The sequence below is a fragment of the Homo sapiens genome, chromosome 14, assembly GCF_000001405.40.
Source record: "Homo sapiens chromosome 14, GRCh38.p14 Primary Assembly".
Taxonomy (NCBI): domain Eukaryota; kingdom Metazoa; phylum Chordata; class Mammalia; order Primates; family Hominidae; genus Homo; species Homo sapiens.
In genome coordinates, this window is record NC_000014.9 from 88,652,047 (window position 1) to 88,674,313 (window position 22,267).

Here is a 22,267-nt window from a genome sequence, read left to right on the forward strand (position 1 = left end):
TCTGACTCCAGAATTCATGTCCTTTGCACTATACGATGCTGCATTCTAGCAAGTTACTTGAAACATGGAATTCTGTACAAGTACTTAGATTATGGTATACTGTGCTTTCTTAAAAATATCCCTAATTTAATACTTTGCCTCTTTATACATAATGAAAAACTGGATGATCACTCTCCATCCCCTTTCCTTAGGTGACCTCCCATTGCTATGATCTGAGGTACATGAGGTATACCATCAGCAAACGACACCTGGAAAAGGAGCTGAGGAGGCACTGCGCCCTTAACACTCCATCTAGACTTCCCTGGCAACGCGGGGGTCAGTCAATTTACAAGATCTCTCAGTTCTCCCTTCCCCATTACTAACGTGTTTTTCACCTTAACTTCATCCCTTTCCCCGAATATAAAATCCATAGGTGCAAACTCAAATCCCTCTGACGAAGCTTTCCTGTAGTCATTTCTATCTCTCTGAGTTCCAAAATTCTTCAGCACTATCCTAAATGGCCACAAATTCGCTTGAATTTTCTACAAATCCTGTTCAACTGTGAATGAATTCCCTTTTAATTTCTCCCTCAAATTGTCCACTAACTTCTCATAATAAAGTTTTCCTCACCACAACCTTGTTCTCACCTCCCACTCCCTCTGTTCCTTCTTACTGTTTCTGGATCTTTTCCTTTTTTGTTCTTTAAACCTCTTTGCTTCTGAAGTCCATGCCATTCAATGCTCCATATCCCTTTTTATTGTTTACCACCTTTGATTTTGAAACACTAGTTTCACAATTTATTTCTTAATCTGTCATCTAGCTCAGAGACTTTATTAAAAAGTGATCTCTAAATTACTTTGGGCAGTATGGCCATTTTCACGATATTGATTTTTTCCTATCCATGAGCATGGAATGTTTTTCCATTTGTTTGTGTCCTCTCCTATTTCCTTGAGCAGTGGTTTGTACCTCTCTTTGAAGAGGTCCTTCACATCCCTTGTAAGTTGTATTCCTAGGTATTTTATTCTCTGTGTAGCAGTTGTGAATGGGAGTTCACTCATGATTTGGCTGTTTGTCTATTATTGGTGTAGAGGAATGCTTGTGATTTTTGCACATTTATCTTGTATCCTGAGACTTTGCTGAACTTGCTTATCAGCTTAAGAAGATTTTGGGCTGAGACAATAGAGTTTTCTAAATATAAAATCATGTCATCTGCAAACAGAGACAATTTGACTTCCTCTTTTCCTATTTGAATACCATTTATTTCTTTCTCTTGCCTAATTGCCCTGGCCAGAACTTCCAACAATATGTTGAATCAAAGTAGTGAGAGACAGCATCCTTGTCTTGTGCCGGTTTTCAAAGGGAATGCTCCCAGTTTTTGCCCATTGAGTATGATATTGGCTGTGGGTTTGTCATAAATAGCTCTTATTACTTTGAGATATGTTCCATCAAAACCTAGTTTATTGAGAGTTTTTAGCATGAAGGGGTGCTGAATTTTATCGAAGGCCTTTTCTGCATCTATTGAGATAATCATGTGGTTTTTGTCATTGGTTCTGTTCATGTGATGGATTACATTTATTGATTTTGGTATGTTGAATGAGCTTTGCATCCCAGGGATGAAGCCGACTTGATTGTGGTGGATAAGCTTTTTGATGTGCTGCTGGATTTAGTTTGCCAGTATTTTACTGAGGACTTTCACATCGATGTTTACCAGGCATATTGGCCTGAAATTTTCTTTTTTTGTTGTGTCTCTGCCAGGTTTTGGTATCAAGATGATGCAGACCTCATAAAATGAGTTAGGGAGGAGTCTCTCTTTTTCTATTGTTTGGAATAGCCAGAAGAATGGTACCAGCTCCTCTTTGTACTTCTGGTAGAATTCGGATGCGAATCCATCTGGGCTTTTTTTTGGTTGGTAGGCTATTAATTACTGCCTCAATTCCAGACTTTGTTATTGGTCTATTCAGGGATTCCACTTCTGGTTTAGTCTTGGGAGGGTGTATGTGTCCAGGAATTTATCCACTTCTAGATTTTCTAGTTTATTTGCGTAGAGGTCTTTATAGCATTCTCTGATGGTAGTTTGTATTTCTGTGCAATCAGTGGTGATATCCTCTTTAACATTTTTTATTGTGTCTTTTTGATTTTTCTCTCTTTTCTTCTTTATTAGTCTGGCTAGCAGTCTATCTATTTTGTCAATCTTTTCAAAAAACCAGCTCCTGGATTCACTGATTTTTTGAAGGGTTTTTTGTGTCTCTCTCTCCTTCAGTTGTGCTCTGATCTTTATTTCTTGTCTTCTACTAGCTTTTGAATTTGTTTGCTCTTGCTTCTCTAGTTCTTTTAATTGTGATGTTAGGATGTTGATTTTAGATCTTTCCCACTTTCTCCTGTGGGCATTTAGTGCTATACATTTCCCTCTAAAGACTGCTTTAGCTGTGTCCCAGAGATTCTGGTATGCTGTATTCTTTGTTCTCATTGGTTTCAAAGAACTTATTTATTTCTGCCTTAATTCTGTTATTTACCCAGTAGTAATTCAGGAGCAGGTTGTTCAGTTTCCATGTAGTTGTATGGTTCAGAGTGAGTCTCTCCATCCTCAGTTCCAATTCAATTGCACTATGGTTTGAGAGACTGTTTGTTATGATTTCTGTTCTTTTGCATTTGCTGAGGAGTGTTTTACTTCCAATTATGTGGTCAAATTTAGAATAAATGTGATGTGGTGCTGAGAAGAATGTATATTCTGTTGATTTGGGGTGGACAGTTCTGTAGATGTCTATTAGGTCCGTTTGTCCAGAGCTGAGTTCAACTCCTGATTATCCTTGTTAATTTTCTGTCTCGTTGATCTAATATTGACAGTGGGGTGTTAAAGTCTCCCACTATTTTTGTGTGGGAGTCTAAGTCTCTTTGTAGGTCTCTAAGAACTTGGTTTATGAATCTGGGTGCTCCTGTATTGGGTGCATATATATTTAGGAAAGTTAGGTCTTCTTGTTGCATTGATCCCTTTACCATTATGTAATGCCCTTCTTTGTCTTTTTTGATCTTTGTTGGTTTAAAGTAGATTCAATGCTATCCCCATCAAGCTACCAATGACTTTCCTCACAGAATTGAACTACTGTAAATTTCATATGAAACTAAAAAAAGAGCCCATATAGCCAAGACAATCCTAAGTAAAAAGAACAAAGCTGGAGGCATCATGCTAGCTGACTTCAAACTATACTACAATGCTACAGTAACCAAAACAGCATGGTACTGGTACCAAAACAGATATATAGACCAATGGAACAGAACAGAGGCCTCAGGAATAATGCCACATATCTACAACAATCTGATCTTTGACAAACCTGGTAAAAACAAGCAATGAGAAAGGATTCCCTCTTTAATAAATGGTGTTGGGGAAACTAGCTACCCGTATGTAGAAAACTGAAACTGGACCCCTTCCTTATACCTTATACAAAAATTAACTCAAGGTGAATTAAAGACTTAAACATAAGACCTAAAACCATAAAAACCCTAAAAGAAAACCTAGCTAATACCATTCAGGACTTGGCATGGGCAAACACTTCATGACTAAAACACTGACAGCAATTGCAACAAAAGCAAAAATTGACAAATGGGATCTAATTAAACTAAAGAGCTTCTGCACAGCAAGAGAAACCATCATCAGAGTGAATAGGCAACCTACAGAATGGGAGAAAATTTTTGCAATCTATCCATCTGACAAAGGGCTAATATCCAGAATCTACAAAGAATTTAAACAAATTTACAAGAAAGAAACAACCCCATCAAAAAGCTAAGGATATGAACAGACACTTCTCAAAAGAAGATATTTATGTGGCCAAAAAACATGAAAAAAAGCTCATCATCACTGGTCATTAGAGAAATGCAAATCGAAACCACAATGAGATACCATCTCACATCAGTTAGAATGGTGATCATTAAAAAGTCAGGAAACAACAGATGCTGGAGAAGATGTGGAGAAACAGCAATGCTTTTACACTGTTGGTGGGAGTGTAAATTAGTTCAACCATTGTGGAAGACAGTGTGGCAATTCCTCAAGGATCTAGAACTAGAAATACCATTTGACTCAGGAATCCCATTACTGGGTATATACCCAAAGGATTATAAATCATTCTACTATAAAGACACATGCACATGTATATTTATTACAGCACTGTTCACAATAGCAAAGACTTGGAACCAACTCAAATGTCCATCAATAATAGACTGGATAAAGAAAATGTGGCACATAAACACCACGGAATACTATGCAGCCATAAAAAAGGATGAGTTCATGTCCTTTGCAGGGACATGGATGAAGCTGGAAACCATCATTCTCAGCAAACTAACACAGGAACAGAAAACCAAACACCACATGTTCTCACTCATAAGTGGGAGTTGAACAATGAGAACATATGGACACAGGGAGGGGAATATCACACACTGGGGCCTGTCAGGGAGTGGGGAGCTAGGGGAGGGATAGCATTAGAAGAAATACCTAATGTAGATGATGGGCTGATGGATGCAGCAAACCACCATGGCACATGTATACCTATGTAACAAACCTGCACGTTCTGCACATGTATCCCAGAACTTAAAGTATAATTAAAAAAAAGTGATCTCTCCTCATAAAATGGCCTTGCATATGTCCTTACTTTTTTATTTGCTGATTCTAGACTAAGACCAATAATTCCCATTAAAGACAACCTGCCTTTTTAGAAAATTTTTGAAATGAGGACTGACTATGCTTAAAGAAAGGCACATGGATAGGCAGGCCTTTTCAAAATTGAATCACAATACTGCTCACATACTTCTTAAAAAGTACTCGGTATTGGATTCAATTTTTATTATCTCCTCCAACCTCATCACACACATTTATAAAAGTTAGCAAATAAGATGAATCATATCAACCTTATAAACATGTATAAATCCCTAAACCAATAGTGTTAACACATAGTGTTACCATCAATAGGGTTTTGTTTTTGTGGGTATTTTTTTTTGAGACAGGGCCTCATTCTGACACTCAGGTAGGAGTGCAGTGGCACCAATCATAACTCACTGCAATCTCAACTTCCTGGGCTCAAGCAATGCTCCTGCCTCAGCCTTTGAAGTAGCTGGGGCTACAAACACACACCACTAAACCTGGATTATTTTTATATTTCCATAGAGACAAGGTCTCACTACATCACCCAGGCTGATACCAAAAGGTATTTAAAGACAGACATACTTTCTAAGAGGTGCTGTGAATTGTCTATAGCAAGAATATCACTGTTACTTAGTTTGTGTAAAAAAGCCACTTAAATAATAAATTCCATTTTTAATGACAATATCTTTTTCTTCATCTAATACTAAACTAAATTATTACCTTTCATCAATTGAGGGTTCTTTTTGTTGTAAATGAGGCTTGATTCCTAACATTGGGCGAATATTTGTTGATAAGGCTCTGATGGTGTAACTGATTTCATTCTCCCTTGTAACATCACTGTCATAGCCTACAATAAAAATATACGAGTAATTCTTTAAGCAATAACTGAGATCAATTATGATCTTATAAATTGGATACAAAGATGTTCAACAATATGAAATAAATTAAGTTGTTATAAGCAAATTATGAAGTAATATACAACCAGAAAAAACGATGTAGAAGAATATTTAATTATATGTAATGATGTTTTCAAAGTATTACTAAGTAATAATAGCAGGTTAAAAAATAAGTTCAATATGACCATACTTTTCTTAAAAAAATATTAGCTACATACATCTTAGGATATACCCCAAATATTAGAAGAGGTGTTACCTCTGTGTGGTCAAATTATGGAGGCTGTGTTTAATTTTTATGGCAAAATACATTTTCTATAACGAGCTGATATTACTGGTATATTAGAAGAAAATCAAAATTATTTTAAAATATGAGGTTTAATAATATAAAATTTACCTTAACAGTACTTATTTAAAATTCAGATATTTTTCATTTGTAGATAAATAATATCAAAGTCATAAATTCATGGCAACCTGTTGTTCTTGAGTCACAAAATGGATTTTGATGTTAAACAGACTAAAAACAGTACCACTACAATTATTCAAACATTATTATTACTTGCTTTAACTTCCACAGCTTAAACAAGTTGTGCTAAATTTTCCCTATATTTTTGTTCAAGTATTATAAAATGACGTACCCCCATCTTCTTCAGAATCAATGTCGGATTCTTCACTATCACAAGGCCTTTTTTCTCGATAGCCTTCCATCTCATTTGTCCACACCATTAAAGACATATCTGTACCGCCTAGGGTAACCAACATGCTGTCATCATAAGTCCAGCGAACATTTGTGACATGTGTACTATGGGCCACATACCTCTTAAACTTTCCAAATTTCCCCTAAAGAGGAAGAAAATTCAAACAATCTTTCTGAGAAATTTCATTATTTAAATATTTCCATTATGATTTTGAATTTTATTAATAATTAAAAATTAATCATTTCAAGTGCAATGTGTTAAAAAAAATGAGAAAATACTGAAACTCAGCAGAATAAAAGATACCAATTCCTAAACCTGTTAAGGACAAGATCTAAAACCAGTAGTTTCACAAAATGCTGGTACCCCAGGCAAAACTCTTTAAAAAACCAACTTGGTATTCTGCATTAAAAGCATAAAAATGTTCTTGTATTTGACTCACCCATCTCCCTTTTAGGGATCTATGCTAAGAAATGCTATCTGTGTAAAAAAATACTTACCATGGTATTTACTTATAGTAGTGAAAAAAATTAAATACCTTAAATGTTCAAAGTAATAGTTAATTACAATGTATATGGAATAGTGTATATATATTAAAGACAATGGTTATGCAGATGTACTGTTGGAAATAGATACAATAATTGAGAAAGGATACACATGCCTATGTACAGCATGAGTATGTTAACAAAAAGTAACTATCGATTGATTGCTTTGGTACACATATATTTATATACCCATGTAAATATCTTTCATCTCAATTCATTAGTGCTTTTTTTTGTAAGCAATACACATAGAAATGTATTTTCCTTTTAAATAACAATAAAGTTTAAGTTATTGTTATTATGGTATTAGCATTACCAAGTTACATAAATTTCAGATCAAAGCATCATAAAGCAGGTTTTCCGTTAACATCTTTTCAAAGGTGTTAAAATGAGAGATGTCTTATACAAAACACAGTGATAGCAAAATTTGTGAATTCCCTAGGAATGACGACTCTCTTTTTTTTTTTTGATACTGGAATGCAGTGGCACGATCTTGGCCCACTGTAACCTCCGCCTCCTGGTTCAAGCGATTCTTCTACCTCAGCCTCCCAAGTAGCTGGGAATACAGGGACCCGCCACCGTGCCCAGCTAATTTTTTCTGTTTTTAATAGAGACGGGGTTTCACCATGTTGACTAGGCTGGTCTCGAACTCCTGACCTCAGGTGATCCACCTGCCTCGGCCTCCCAAAGTGCTGGGATTATAGGCGTAAGCCACTGCGCCCAGCAGGAATGATGACTCTTAATAATTAAGTCAGGGTGAGGGATCTGTCATCAAAGCATGGCAAGAAGGTAGTTTCTCTAAGACTGTGTGGTTCTTGCTACACTAAGGTGAAAACATAATCTGCAGATCAATATTCCAGAACCTATTCCTAAGGGATCTACACCATCTGGAACGCTGGAAGTGAAGTTTCTGGCAAATATTTTAGTGGAACACATTGTTAACAACTAAGACTCTACCATTTACATGTATCTAAAACAGGAATCAGTGGAATATTTTCTTGGGTGTCTGAGTTTTCAATGAGAATTTTTAAACCTGTGTTTTCATTTCAATGCTGATCTAAAAATATTAATATGAGCAGTTACTCAAGATCACCAGGAACTGAATACCACAATATCATTTCAGTGCCATATTTCAAATTTATCTTTATGTTCATGTTGGTGCCAGAGTATAATATATAACTTAATTTGTGAATTAAGAAATAAATGCTGCCAGATAACAGTGACTCGCGCCTGTAATCCCACCACTTTAGGATGCCGAGGCAGGAGGATCACCTGGGTTCAGGAGTTTGAGACCAGCATAGGCAACATCTGGAGACCCCATCTCTACAAAAAAAAATTTTTTTTTACATTAGCCAGGCATGGTGGCATGTGCCTGTGGTCCCAGTTACTCAAGAGGCTGAGGTGGGAGGATAACTTGGGTCTGGAAGGTCGATGCTGCAGTGAGCCATGATTGCGCCATTGCATTCCAGCCTGGGTCACAGAGAGAGACGCTGTCTTAAAAAAAAAAAAAAAAGAAAGGAATGCATTGTATCTGGACTTGATATATAAATTTTATTTCCGTGTTAAGGAAAAGCCTAATATTTTACAGTAGTTTGAACAGAGGGAAGTGATAAAAGAATTAAGTACTTGCACAGCACACATTAGCATAGGTACGTAGAATGCCAAAGAATCTGTTGGCGAGGCCCAGTGGCTCACGCCTGTAATCCTAGTACTTTGGGAGGTCGAAGTGGGCGGATCACAAGGTCAGGAGTTTGAGACCAGCCTGACCAACATGGTAAAACCCTATCTCTACTAAAAATACAAAAAAATTAGCTGGGCATGGTGGTGCGCGCCTGTAATCCCAGCTACTCAGGGGGCTGAGGCAGGAGAATAGCTTGAACCCGGGAGGTGGAGGTTGCAGTGAGCCTAGATCATGCCACTGCACTCCAGCCTGGCGACAGAGTGAGACTCCATCTCAGGGAAAAAAAAAGAAAAAAGAAAAAAAAAACTTAATATACATAAGCAGGAAGTAAATACCAATTTTAAGCAGAAAATCATCAACAAATGATGCTGATGATTTAAAATGCACATATATTCTGCTACGAAAGCAGAAAAAAAGAATTTGTATGATTTGGTTTCAAAAAAAGTCATTCATTACATTAAATCAATGGTGCTTAATTTTATAAGTGTAAGTATTTTCTATTTAATTGGTTAAAACAACTTCAAGTTTGAAGCTGTAACTATAAAGAGTTTATATTTATTGTTAATAGTATATATTTAATTAAAAATTGAAAAATTATTGAAGTTAATATTGGGGATAAAAGGAATGTGTCTCTCTCTCTGACACAGGGTTTTGCGCTGTCACCCAGACTGGTGTGCAATGACATGACCACAGCTCACTGTAGCCTCCAACTCCTGGGCTCAAGCAATCTTCCCACCTCAGCCTCCTGAGTAGCTAGGACTACAGGCATGTGCCACAATGCCTGGCTAATTTTTTTCTCTGTTTTGTAGAGAGGAAGTCTTGCTATGCTGCCCAGGCTGGCCTGAAACGCCTGGCCTCAAGTGATCCTCCCACCTCAGGCTCCCAAAGTACTATACTGGGATTATAGGCATGAGCCACTGTCCCCAGCCAAGATGTTTCTTGTAAAAGGGATATTCATATTAGTCAATATTGAAAAACACTATAGGATATGATATATAACTTAATGTATGGGATTATAAATTACAATACTTAAAAGCTATAGATATGAAACATAATTCTGAACCTTTCATATTACAACATTACATATTACATATGTACAATTAATAACAATGAAGTGCTATGACAGGACATTACCTTAACCATTTCATAATTGATGATCATTAGGAAAGTTAAAGAAAAACACATACTTTAGTAGGATATCTAAATAACTTCACAAATCCCAAATCGTCCCCGGTAGCTAGAACCATTTTGTCACTGGTGAGGCAAGAAGCAGTTACATCTGTAACTTCTCCAATTACTGGCCAAATTCCTTCACAGCATAAACCAAGTACACTTGTCCATGATGCCCAAGCAATTTTTTCTACCTAAAAATGAAAAACAATGCTGTAAGTTTGGATTATCCAAACCTAAAGTATTAACAACCAAAATGTAAACATTTTTCTTTGTAGTTATGTGTGTCACAAGTAAAATGAAAGTTTTAATGAAAAAATAGTTAAATTATTAGTTGTCTTGGTTTTGTAACTCCCCAGAGCCTACTAATTGCTGCAGAAAAATTTTAACATAGTATTATTCAGAATATAATTATATATCCACTGTGTGTTCTAGATGCTAAGCATACAGTGTTAATAATAAAACCGTTTCTGACTTTAGGATAATCAAGTAAGATTCTTACAGTTCATGTTTAAATTTCTAATAATGCATTATGTTTTCCAACTAACCCTTACTAGAAATTTAGAACTTTTACTTATGGTCTCTCCCTTCATTAAGACACTTTCATGTTAAATTTGTTAAGCCTCTCTTCCTAGGCCAAGATAAAAAATAAAAAAAAAAAGGCTAATATTGTCAGGCACAAAATGCAACACAATTTTTCTTGTTTTTTTTTTTTTTTTTTTTTTTTTTTAAAGAAGCAAAAACAGTAATCTGCCAACAAACTTCTTAGGCATATGGATTCCTAAGGACGTGGCAGATATGCAATACTCCAATCTTAGATGGCATGTCTTCTATTTGCTATTTCACGCTTCTTGTCTTTTAAGGAAAGCAACTGGAGCACAGCTAGCCGTGCAAGTGATTTATTCCTTTTTTTTTTTTTTTTTTAATACAGGGTCTCACTTTGTCACCCAGGCTGGAGTGTAGTGGCATGAACATGGCTCACTGCAGCCTCCGCCTCCTAGGTTCAAGCAATCCTCCCACCTCAGCCTCCCAAGTAACTGGGACTATAGGCACATGCCACCATGCCCAGCTAATTTTTTGTATTTTTTTGTAGAGATGGGGTTTCAGCATGTTATCCAGTCTGGTCTTGAACTCCTGAGCACAAGCAATCTGCCTGCCTCTGCTTCCAAAGTGTTGGGATTACAGGCGTGAGCCACCATGCCCACTGACTCCTTTTATTAATATAGTGTTTCTTCCTTCACCCATGTATTCTGACTCAATAAACTCAATAATATCCAATATTTTAATAATTTGAGAACAGACTTCACGTGTAACTAAACGATAGAAAGTAGGTATCAGTTTTCTAGCCACTTTTATTCACATGAACAACACTGCAAGCACCACTGTTGTCCTACCTCCACGCTGGGGATGGTTTGTTTTTTCCCTCTGGGAGCTTCAAAGAATAATTGTTCCTTAGCACCAGTGTTGACCTGTAAAAGCTTTCCTTCAAAAAAATTTTTAAAAATATTTACACATATAAAATACATACAAATATATATACCATCAGTATGATGTTTAAGTTTTATGGGAAAAAATCAGCTTAAATATAAAAACCATTTTCTGCTGCAGTCAACTTATAGTAAGAACATTTTATTTTTATAATTCCATATTACTAAGTAACTAAATTCATAAGTGGTTTGATTTTTGTATATGTATATACATAAAAATGATTTCTTTGGTTATGCATATGTAAAAAATTCCTAGAAACAAATGTTAAAATATTTTTTAAAGTGTATCTGTTTAACTATATTTAGAAAAACTTTATGATGCTCAATTTATATAGTTGAATACAATATAGTTGAATACATGAAACAATAACATCCTTAAAAAGAGAGGATTTAAAATACTTAACATTTATCAAACATATTAAACTCAGTCATATGCCATGCATTCTGCTAAAATACAAACATACTCATTAAGTTCTTTATGTTATATGATTATGACTCTTTTTGAAGATATATTTCATATCAAACAATGAGAAAAATGACTTTAAAATCTTCATTAACATTTCTTTTTAAAAATGTATTTCATTTTTTTTTTTTAGGAATGGGGTCTCACTGTGTTGCCCAGGCTGGTCTCAAACTCCTGGGCTCAAGCAGTCCTCCAGCCTTGGCCTCCCAAAGTACTGAGATTACAGGCATGAGCCACCATACCTGGCCAACATTTCTATATTCTATTTATGTCAAATTTATATGACAAAGATCAAGACATCTTCACAACAATTTTTTTGCACAATATTTAAATCACTTTACAAATTAAACAACTAATCACTTACTGTACTATTATTTGAACGATATTAGGTGAAGTATTGAAAAGTGTAGGTTGGGTGCAGTGGCTCATGCCTATAATCACAGCACTTTGGGATGCCAAGGTGGGAGGACTGCTTGAGTCCAGGAGTTCGGGACCAGCCTGGGCAATATAGTGAGAACCTGTCTGTACAAAACATTTAAAAATTAGCCAGGCATGGTGGTGCATGCCTGTAGTCCCAGCACTCAGGAGGCTGAGTTGGGAGGATGACTTAAGCCCAGGAGGTTAAGGTTGTAGTGAACTGTGATTGTACCACAGCATTCCAGCCTGGGTGACAGAGTGAGACCTGTCTCAAAAAAAAAAAAAAAGAAAAGAAAAAGGAAAAAGAAAAGTCTCAACTCTATAGTATTCATCTTCAGATGTAAAATAGTAAAAAATAATTTTGAGAATAATGGTTGTTTTTCCCAATTCTTTTTAACTCATCTGTTGAATCACTTTTCCGTTTCTCTAATATAGCTATACTAAATCAAATGAAACTTTTATCAAGTATTAAGTTATTTAAAGTCTTACCTCTAATATCCCAATCAATATGGGTTATGTAACTGGTAGCTCCTTTGCATATTCCTACTCGTTTACTACTCATTACATTGTATATATCTATAAAGCTGTCATGGGATGCTACAGCAAGATATTTCCCAGAACCTATAATAGAAACATATTTGCTTGACATTTTCTATCTTTGGAAATACTTTTTTACACTCTGCAACTAGAGTTAATTTTCCTTTTCTTTATGGAGAAATCTTAGCTGTTTCATAAATTATAATAAAACAGATGTGTTAAATAACAAATGATAACATTTTTCAAGTATATTATACTTAACAAAATAATTTTTTAGTGTAACAAATTAGTTCAGTGGGAAGCAAATGTCAAAAGCTATGTATGATGTAGTTTTGATACTTTGTATTTAACAAAACTCCCTCTAAATTTAGAAAAAAATGGAACTAAACCAACATAAGTAAATTTTGCCTTAACATTAGTAATTGCTACATTACAGTAGGTTTGTAGTAGATAATGAATACATGGAAATTAATGGAGTAAAATGAGTGCAATTTCAAAAGCATTAAGAATATAACGAAAACAGTTATCCAACCCCTTTTATATCACAAATGAGGAAACAAAAGCTCAGAGAAGCATCCTGGCTCAAGTCACACAGAAAATTTAGTAACAGAATTGGCGCTAAGACAGATATTTGCACCAATCTAACAACAGGGCTTTTACCTCTTGCTACACTGCCTCTTCTAGTAAAAAAGTTAAGTTCTGAGATAACATAACAGTTAATAAAAATTATACATTGATACATTTATACACTGCCAGACCCAAGTTAATACTCAAATACAATTTCAATGGATCTTACCAGGTGAAAATCGAATATCTGAAATCATATCTTTTCTGTGATGAAAAGACACAAGATCCTCTAGAGTATCCGCATTTGCCATTAAGAAGCTTCCATCGTTGAGACCTACGGCTAAAGCTTTACCATCAGGAGAAAAACAGCAACACCTCCCACCTGAAAGAGAAAGAGCATATTAGGCAATTTTCCCTTTTTTCTAATTTAAAGTATGGGCCAGGTGTGGTGGCTCATGCCTATAATCCAAGCACTCTGGGGAGCTGAGGCAGGAGGACTGCCCGCGGCCAGGAGGTTAAGACCAGCCCGGGCAACATAGCAAGACCCCATCTCTGCCAGTAGGCAGAGTAGGGGAAGGGGCAAGGGGCAAAGGAGAAGGGGCGAGGGGGAAGAGAGAAGAGGGAAGGGAAGACAGGTAAGTAAGTAAATAAATAGACAGGCATGGTGGCACACACCTGTAGTCCCATTTACTTAGGAAGCTGAGGCGGGAGGACTGTTTGAGCCCAGGAGGTTGAGGGTGCAGTGAGCTATGATTGCACCACTGCACTCCAGCCTGGGTTACAGAGTGAGACCTTGCCTCAAAAAAAAAAAAAATATTTGCTAAAAAGGTTGCCTCTTTATTATGGCTTCAAATCAATATTAAAAAGGAGTCGAGATACAGATTAAGTTTTCTATAGAAGTCAATGGTATGGAATTCTAAGCAGGAATGAAACTCACTTCTGAATACAACAAAAGCAAGTATGGATATTTACCTTAAAAGAAATTAAGTTGATGAAAAAGAATGAGAGATTTTAATTAACATAAAAAGCCAATGATATATGTGGAAGTTTTGCAGAGTAGGTTTTACCTTTGTAGCTTCTTTCCAAAAAAACAGAAATTTAAGAAATAAGTCATCTTTATAAAAGTAATTTTTTTTGAGATGGAATTTCTCTCTTGTTGCCCAGGGTGGAGTGCAATGGCATGATCTCAGCTCACTGCAACCTCCGCCTCCTGGGTTCAAGTGATTCTCCTGCCTCAGGCTCCCAAGTAGCTGGGATTACAGGCATGTGCCACCAGGCCTGGCTACTTTTGTATTTTTAGTAGAGATGGGGTTTCACCATGTTGGTCAGGCTGGTCCTGAACTCCTGACCTCAGGTGAACCACCTGCCTCAGACTCTCAAAGTGCTGGGATTACAGGCATGAGCCACAGCACCTGGCCTATGAAACTAAAATATTTTTAAAAATCTAATAGGCCATTATTAAAGGTAGGAAGATACATCTGTATATATACGTTTCAGAACCATATATGAAATGATATTTTTATTATTAATGATAAATTAATATCGTTCATTAATGTCATTAATGATGTTAACATTCGTAAAAATAAGGGTTAGTGCTGCATTGATAAACACAAAAAAGGGCTTACCCTAACAGCAAGGGTTGCAGCAAACATATTCAAAAGCCCTAAGGATTTTGGTATCTTGTATGAAATCTGATGAGGAAAGGACAGGGTATATACAGAATGAAAAGTTATAGCATAAGTTGAGAACAAGTAGTCATTTAATTATCAAGCATACATTGGAAATGAAGAAATCTAAGATGTGATTTCTCAGATTTGAGAGTCAAGAGATGATGATGACCTGGAGCTGGGTGGCAGCAGTGGAGGTGATAAGAGGAAGGATTTGGATATATTTCAAAGATAGAGCTGGCAGAACTTTGACCAACTGGATGTGGGGTGAAAGGCGTCAAGGGCATGGTTTTGCTTGAGTGGTGATGCCATTTACTGAGATGGGATAAACTAGAGGAGGAACCACCAGTGCTTAGTTCTGTACAAATTAAGTTAAAGATGCCTATGAGAAGTTCAAGTGAAGACATGAAGGAGACAATTTAATATATGAATCCTTTTCAGGAGCTGCATATAATGTTTGTTATATGTATATCTTTATTTGTGTATATTAACTATTTGACTTTTCTCTCCTTTTTCTCCTTCATATTTTATACAAGTTTGTTGGAGGTTAACTTTACAATTTTGTGTTAAAAGAATATTCCTTGTGTTAAAAGAATATAAGACCGTGACTAAATTTGAGAATAGCGTAGGTCTTCTCTCTTTAGGGGTGAGAACTACTTCACTTGTACCAAGGGTAGCTGCATCTCTTTGGGTAGAAACATAAGGTTAGTTCTGTGATTGTACTGAAGTTCAAATGTGTGTATAAAGGTTCATGTGGATCCTGACTAGCCAGAGGGGAAGACTGTGCTGGTTATTAATTTATTGCCTCTCAGTTCCAAATCTGCCACTTTGGGCCTCACAGACTTTTTTGCTAGCTTGCCAGTAGAGGGAGCTGGAGAGACACTACAAGGCCAAAACAGAAGTGACTCCCTTCCTCCAGTGTGCTGTTTTACTAACAGAGCCCGGGCACTGGCATGAAGGGGGCCTGATGGCATTCACCAGAGTGGCAGCCCCAACTGCCTCTTTCAGCAAGTTTCTCCACCATCACTGTAATGGCTCTAACAATTTAGCTGCAATTTGCGGACTTCAGGAAGATTCTCTGGCAGGAGTCCTCACAGTTCAATGATTTTGCCCTAGGTTAAGCTCTTCAAGCAGTGGTTCTGACCATTCAGCTCTGGCCTGCTGCCTCTGGCAAGCTTCTCCTTCACCAAGTGACTACTCTCACTGTTCCACTGAGGGCTGCACCCTCTGGCAAGCTTTTTCGCCACAAGCTCACTGAATGTTCTGGTGGCAGCCACACCATTTCCAAACAGGTCTGAATCACCTTTAACTTGTTCACTCTCCCTTAGTACTAGGGTTGCTGCTTTCTATGGTGGCTACCTCTAAGGCTTTTTCAGTAGGTAATCACTTTTTGCTAGTTAGCAATTCTTTTTATTAAATTCCCACTGTTCAAATAAGCCTTGTAGTCTCATCTTCTGACTGGACAGTGACCGACTGAATCTAAAGTGTGAGTGTACATATGAAAAGAAAAGTCCGGGGAGAAGCGCTGGAGCAGTCCTAAATGCAGAGTGCAGGAAGAAGAGATAGCACTAGCAAAGGAAACAGAAAAAGGGAGTCAGTGAAGTAGAGAGAAGAAACAGACACGCACGGGTTCCAGAGACAAGTGAATAAAGTATTTCAGAAAAAAAAAAGGGAATGATAAATTGTGTCACAAACTGCTGTGAGGTGAATACACTGAGAACCAGGAAGTGATCAACAGATTGGCAGCAGGTTAAATGGACAAGTAGGGAAAAAAGCCTAATTGGAGTGGGTTATGGAGCTACTGTCATGTGAACACACAGAGAAGGGCGCCTCAACTATTTTGAGGAGTTCTGCTACAAAAGAGGGAAGAGAAACAGAATAGTAGTGAGGTCAATTATCACAGTTCCCTGTTTTACTCAATGCTTATTCTGCTGGTTGGGTGCAGGCATAAAGCAGGTAGAAAGTTGAGTTTAAGGGAAGATTAATATAGTAAGTATCCTTTAAAATTCATAGCTGAGATCATTGAAAAATTAGAAACATTTTCTAGTTATCAAAATTAAAAGGGGAGCAGAAACCCAGAGCAAAAAAGCCACATTTGGAAGGGGAGGGGCCAAGAAAGCCAACTAGAAACAGCTGTGGTCAGAGGCTCCCACCAAGAAGACCGAAAACGGCAAGTGAATCCTGCACCAGCAACTGAGGTATCCAGGTTCTCTCATTGGGACTGACAAGGTGGTTGGCATGACCCATGGAGAGTGAGGAAAAGCAGGGTGGAGTGACAGCCCACCTGGGAGCTGCACAGGACAAGGGGAGCTCCTACTCCCAGCCAAGAGAGGCAGTGAGTGATTGTGCTATCCTGCCCGGGAAACCACACTTTTTCCATGGATCTGTGCAACTGGTGGATCAGGAGATCCCCTCCGTGAGCCCATGCCACCAGTTCCTTGAGTCCCAAGCATAGAGCTGCACAGATTCTCAGTGGCCACTTAGCTACAGACTGCCGAAGACTACCAAGTTCCTGGGGGAAGGGACGGCTGTCATCACTTTGGCTGTCTGCTGCCTCAGATGACTGAGCTCCCTGGGCGAGGGGCAGCAGACATCACTGCAGCTCCAGTCTGCCATTTCTCCTCTGATGGTGCCTGGGAAAATAGACAGTTTAGACCCAGGAGGAATTCACCACAGTGCAGCACAGAGGCTGTGGCAGATGGTGGCCAGACTGCCTCTTTAGGTCGGACCCTGACCATAACCCCTCACTGTGCGGGGCCTCCCTGCAGGAATTTCAGCAACTCCAGCCAGAGGTTTGTGGACAGAACTCTGATCTCCCAGGGACTGAGCTCCTAGAGGGGAGGGGCATCCGTGGTCTCCATGGATCAGCAGACTTAGTCTTTCCCTCTACCAGCTCTGAGGAATCTGGGCAGTCAGGACAAGTGGGATTTCCCCCAGTGTAATGCACCCCCTCTGCCAAGGGGTAGTCAGAGTGCTTCATTAAGTGGGTCCTGGATCCTGTACCTCCTGACTGGGTGAGACCACCCCAACAGGGGTTGCTAGACACCTTATACAGGGGCGTTTCCACTGGTATCAGTTCAGTGACCCTCTGGGACAGAGATCCCAGGGAAAGGAGCAGGCAGCTACCTTTACTGTTTTGCAGCCTCCACTGGTGATACCTCGAGGTGTGGGAGGGACCCAGGCAAAGAAGGTCTGGAGTGGACCTCCAGCAAACCTCAGCTGGAAGAGGAAGAGGGGTCTGACTGTTAAAAGAAAAACAGGCCAGGCATAGTGGCTCATGCCTGTAATCCCAGCACTTTTGGGAGGCCGAGGCAGGTGGATCATGTGGTCAGGGGTTCAAGACCAGCCTGACCAAGATGGTGAAACCCCATCTCTACTAAAAAAAAAACAAAAAAAATTAGCTGGGTGTGGTAGCAGGTGCCTGTAATCCCAGCTACTTGGGAGGCTGAGGCAGAGAATTGCTTGAACCCAGGAAGTGGAGGTTGCAGTGGGCCAAGATCATGCCACTGCACTCCAGCCTGGGTGATAGAGCAGGACTCCATCTCAAAAAAAAAAAAAAAAAGGAGAAAAAAGAAAAACAAACACCAACAACAAAAGCATCAACAAAAAAAGTCCCTGCAAAAACCCCATCCAAAGTTCAGCAGCCTCAAAGACTGAAGCTAGATAAACTCACAAAGATGAGACAGAATCAAAGAAAAAAAATGCTGCAAACTCAAAAAGCCAGAGTGCCTCTTCTCCTCCAAATTAACACAACACCTCTCCAGCAAGGGCACAGAACTGGGCAAAGGCTGAGATGGATGAATTGACAGAAGTAGGCTTCAGAAGGTGGGTAATAATGAATTTTGCTGAGCTAAAGGAACAAGTTCTAACCCAATGCAAAGAAGCTAAGAGCCATGATAAAACATTACAGGAGCTGTTAACCAGAATAACCAGTTTAGAGAAGAACACAAATGACCTGAAGGAGCTGAAAAACACAACCAAGAATGTTACAATGCAACCACAAGTATCAATAACTGAATAGACCAAGCACAGGGAAGAATTTCAGAGCTTGAAGACTATCTTGCTGAAATAAGATACACTACAAGATTAGAGAAAAAAAAAAAGGATGAAAAGGAATGAGCAAAACCTCTGAGAACTATGGGATTATGTAGAAAGACTGAACCTATGACTGACTGGGGTACCTGAACAGAACAAAGTTGTAAAACGTACTTCAGGATATCATCCAGGAGAACTTCCCCAACCTAACAAGACAGGCCAAAATTCAAATTCAGGCAATCCAGAGAACCCCAGTAAGATACTCCATGAGAAGATCAACCCCATGATACATAATCATCAGATTCTCCAAGGTCAAAATGAAGGAAAAAAATGTTAAGGGCAGTCAGAGATAAAGTCAGGTCACCTACAAAGGGGAGCCCATCAGACTAACAGCAGACCTCTCAGCAGAAGCCCTACAAGTCAGGAGACACTAGGGGCCAATATTCAACATTCTTAAAGAATTTCCAACTCAGAATTTCATATCCAGCCAAACTAAGCCTCATAAGTGAAGGAGAAATAAACTCCTTTTTAGACAAGCAAATGCTGAGGGAATTGGTCACCACCAGGCCTGCCTTGCAAGAGCTCCCGAAGGAAGCACTAAATATGGAAAGGAAAAAGTGTTACCAGCCACTGCAAAAACACACTGAAGTACGAAAATCAATGATACTACGAAGCAACTACATTAAGTGTGCAACATAACCAGCTAGCATCACGATGACAGGATCAAATTCACACATAACAATATTAACCTTAAATGTAAATTGGCTAAATGCCCCAAATTAAAAGACAGAGAATGGCATGCTGATAAAGAGTCACAACCCACTGGTGTGCTATATTCAAGAGATCTATCTCATGTGTAAAGACACATACAGGCTCAAAATAAAGGGATGGAGGAAAATTTACCAAGCAAATGGAAAGCAGGAAAAAGCAGGGAGTGCAATCCTAGTTTCTAACAAAACAGATTTTAAACCAAAAAAGATCAAAAAAGACAAAGATGGGCATTGTATAATGGAAATGGGATCAATTCAACAAGTAAAGCTAACTATCCTAAATATACATGCACCCAGTTCAGGAGCACCCAGATTCATAAAACAAGTTCTTAGAGACCTACGAAGAGACAACTTAAACTCCCACATAATAATAGTGGGAGACTTTAACACCCTACTGTCAACATTAGATCATAAAGACAGAAAATTAACAAAGATATTCAGGACTTGAACTCAGCTCCGGATCAAGCGGACCTGATAGATATCTACAGAACTCTCCAACCAAAAACAATAGAATATACTTTCTTCTTGGCACCACATAGCACGTACCCTAAAATCGATCACATAATTGAAAGTAAAACACTCCTCAGCAAGTACAAAAGAACTGAAATCATAACAGTCTCTCAGACCACAGCACTATCAAATTAGAACCCAAGATTAAGAAAATCATTTAAAACCACATAACTACACAGAAATTGAACAACCTGCTCCTAAATGACTCCTGGGTAAATAATGAAATTAAGGCAGAGATCAAGAAGTCCTTTGAAACCAATAAGAACATGGAGACAAGATACCAGAATCTCTGGGACACAGCTAAAGCAGTTTTAAGAGGGAAATGTATAGCCCTAAATGCCCACATCAAAAAGCTAGAAAGATCTCAAATTGACACCCTAATATCACAACTAAAAGAACTAGAGAACCAAGAGCAAACAAACCCCGAAGCTAGCAGAAGACAAGAAATAACCAAGATCAGAGCAGAACTGAAGGAGATAGAGACACGAAAAGCGCGTCAAAAAATATTAATGAATCCAGGGGCCGGTTTTTGAAAAAAATTAATAAAATAGATCATTAGCTAGACAAGAAAAGAGAGAAGAATCAAATCGACACAATAAAAAATGATAAAGGGGACATCACCACTGATCCCACAGAAATACAAACAACCATCAGAGAATACTATAAACACCTCTATGCAAATAAAATAGAAAATCTGGAAGAAATGGATAAATTCCTGGACACATACACTCTCCAAAGACGGAACCAGGAAGAAGTTGAATCCCTGAATAGACCAATAACAGTTCTGAAATTTAGGCAGTAATAAATAGTCTACCAACCAAAAAGAGCCCAGGACCAGACAGATTTACAGCTGAATTCTACCAGAGGTACAAAGAGGAGCTGGTACCATTTCTTCTGAAACTATTCCAAACAGCTGAAAAAAAGGGACTCCTCCCTAACTCATTTTTTGAGGCCAGCATGATCTTGATACCAAAACCTGGCAGAGATGCAACAAAAAAAAGAAAACTCCAGGCCAATATGACTGAAGAATATTGATGCAAAAGTCCTCAATAAAATACTGGCAAACTGAATCCAGCAGCACATCAAAGATTATCCACCACGATCAAGCTGTCTTCATCCCCAGGATGCTAGGCTTGTTCAACACACACAAATCAATAAACATAATTCATCACATAAACAGATCTAAAGACAAAGACCATATGATTATCTCAGTATATGCAGAAAAGGCCTTTGATAAAATTCAACATCCCATCACGTTAAAAATTCTCAATAAACTAGGTATTGATGGAACATACCTCAAAATAATAATGATAAACCCACAGTGAGTATCATACTGAATGGGCAGAAGCTGGAAGCATTCCCCTTGAAAACCAGCACAAGACAAGGATGCCTTCTCTCACCACTCCTATTCAACATAGTATTGGAAGTTCTGGCCAGGGCCATCAGACAAGAGAAAGAAATAAAGTGTATTCCAATAGGAAGAGAGGAAGTAAAACTGTTTTCTGTTTGCAGATGATATGATAGTATGTCTAGAAAACCCCATTATCTCAGCCCAAAAGCTTCTTAAGCTGATATGCAACTTCAGCAAAGTCAAAGGATACAAAATCAATGTGCAAAAATTACAAGCATTCCTATATACCAACAACAGAAAACAGAGAGCCAAATCATGAATGAATTCCTGTTCACAATTGCTATGAAGAGAATAAAATACCTAGGAATATAGTTAACAAGGGAAGTGAAGGACCTCTTCAAAAACTACAAACCACTGCTCAAGGAAATAAAAGAGGACAGAAACAAATGAAATAATTCCATGCTCATACATAGGAAGAATAAATATTGTGAAATGGCCATACTGCCTGTTATTAGTCTGTTCTCACACTGCTATGAAGAAATACCTGGCTGGGTGTGGTGGCTGACACCTGTAATCCCAGCATTTTGGAAGGCTGAGGTGGGCGGATCACTTAATATCAGGAGTTCAAGACCAGCCTGGCCAACATAGTGAAACCTTGTCTCTACTAAAAGTACAAAAATTAGCCAGGCATGGTAGCGCATGTCTGTAATCTCAGCTACTCAGGAGGCTGAGGCAGGAGAATCACTTGAACCCAGGAGGTGGAGGTTGCAGTGAGCTCAGATTGTGCCACTGCACTTCAGGCTGGGCTAAAAGGGTGAGACTTCATCTCAAAAACAACAACAACAACAACAATAAAAACCCTGAGACTTGGTA

At 38.3% G+C, this 22,267-nt stretch overlaps 1 protein-coding gene across 24 annotated transcripts in view, besides 1 other annotated feature; it reads right to left on the reverse strand.

Annotated features, from left to right (window-relative positions):
- Nucleotides 1-22,267, reverse strand: part of EML5 (EMAP like 5) — a 180,523-nt gene that overhangs the window by 39,616 nt on the left and 118,640 nt on the right. For all 24 annotated transcript variants that reach the window (XM_047431057.1, XM_017021065.3, XM_047431056.1 and 21 more), the window contains 6 exons: nucleotides 13,291-13,443; nucleotides 12,447-12,578; nucleotides 10,985-11,073; nucleotides 9,608-9,784; nucleotides 6,141-6,342; nucleotides 5,330-5,456 (listed from right to left, as the gene is read on the reverse strand). In XM_047431057.1, coding sequence (XP_047287013.1) covers nucleotides 5,330-5,456; nucleotides 6,141-6,342; nucleotides 9,608-9,784; nucleotides 10,985-11,073; nucleotides 12,447-12,578; nucleotides 13,291-13,443 — 880 coding nt within the window. The remainder of the gene's footprint in view (nucleotides 1-5,329; nucleotides 5,457-6,140; nucleotides 6,343-9,607; nucleotides 9,785-10,984; nucleotides 11,074-12,446; nucleotides 12,579-13,290; nucleotides 13,444-22,267) is intronic.
- Nucleotides 16,349-16,528: an enhancer, noted in NCBI's record as "active region_8843". NCBI's record gives its function as "activates an Ori minimal core promoter by ATAC-STARR-seq in GM12878 lymphoblastoid cells {active_cell/tissue: GM12878}" and the evidence as "EXISTENCE:reporter gene assay evidence [ECO:0000049][PMID:35858748]".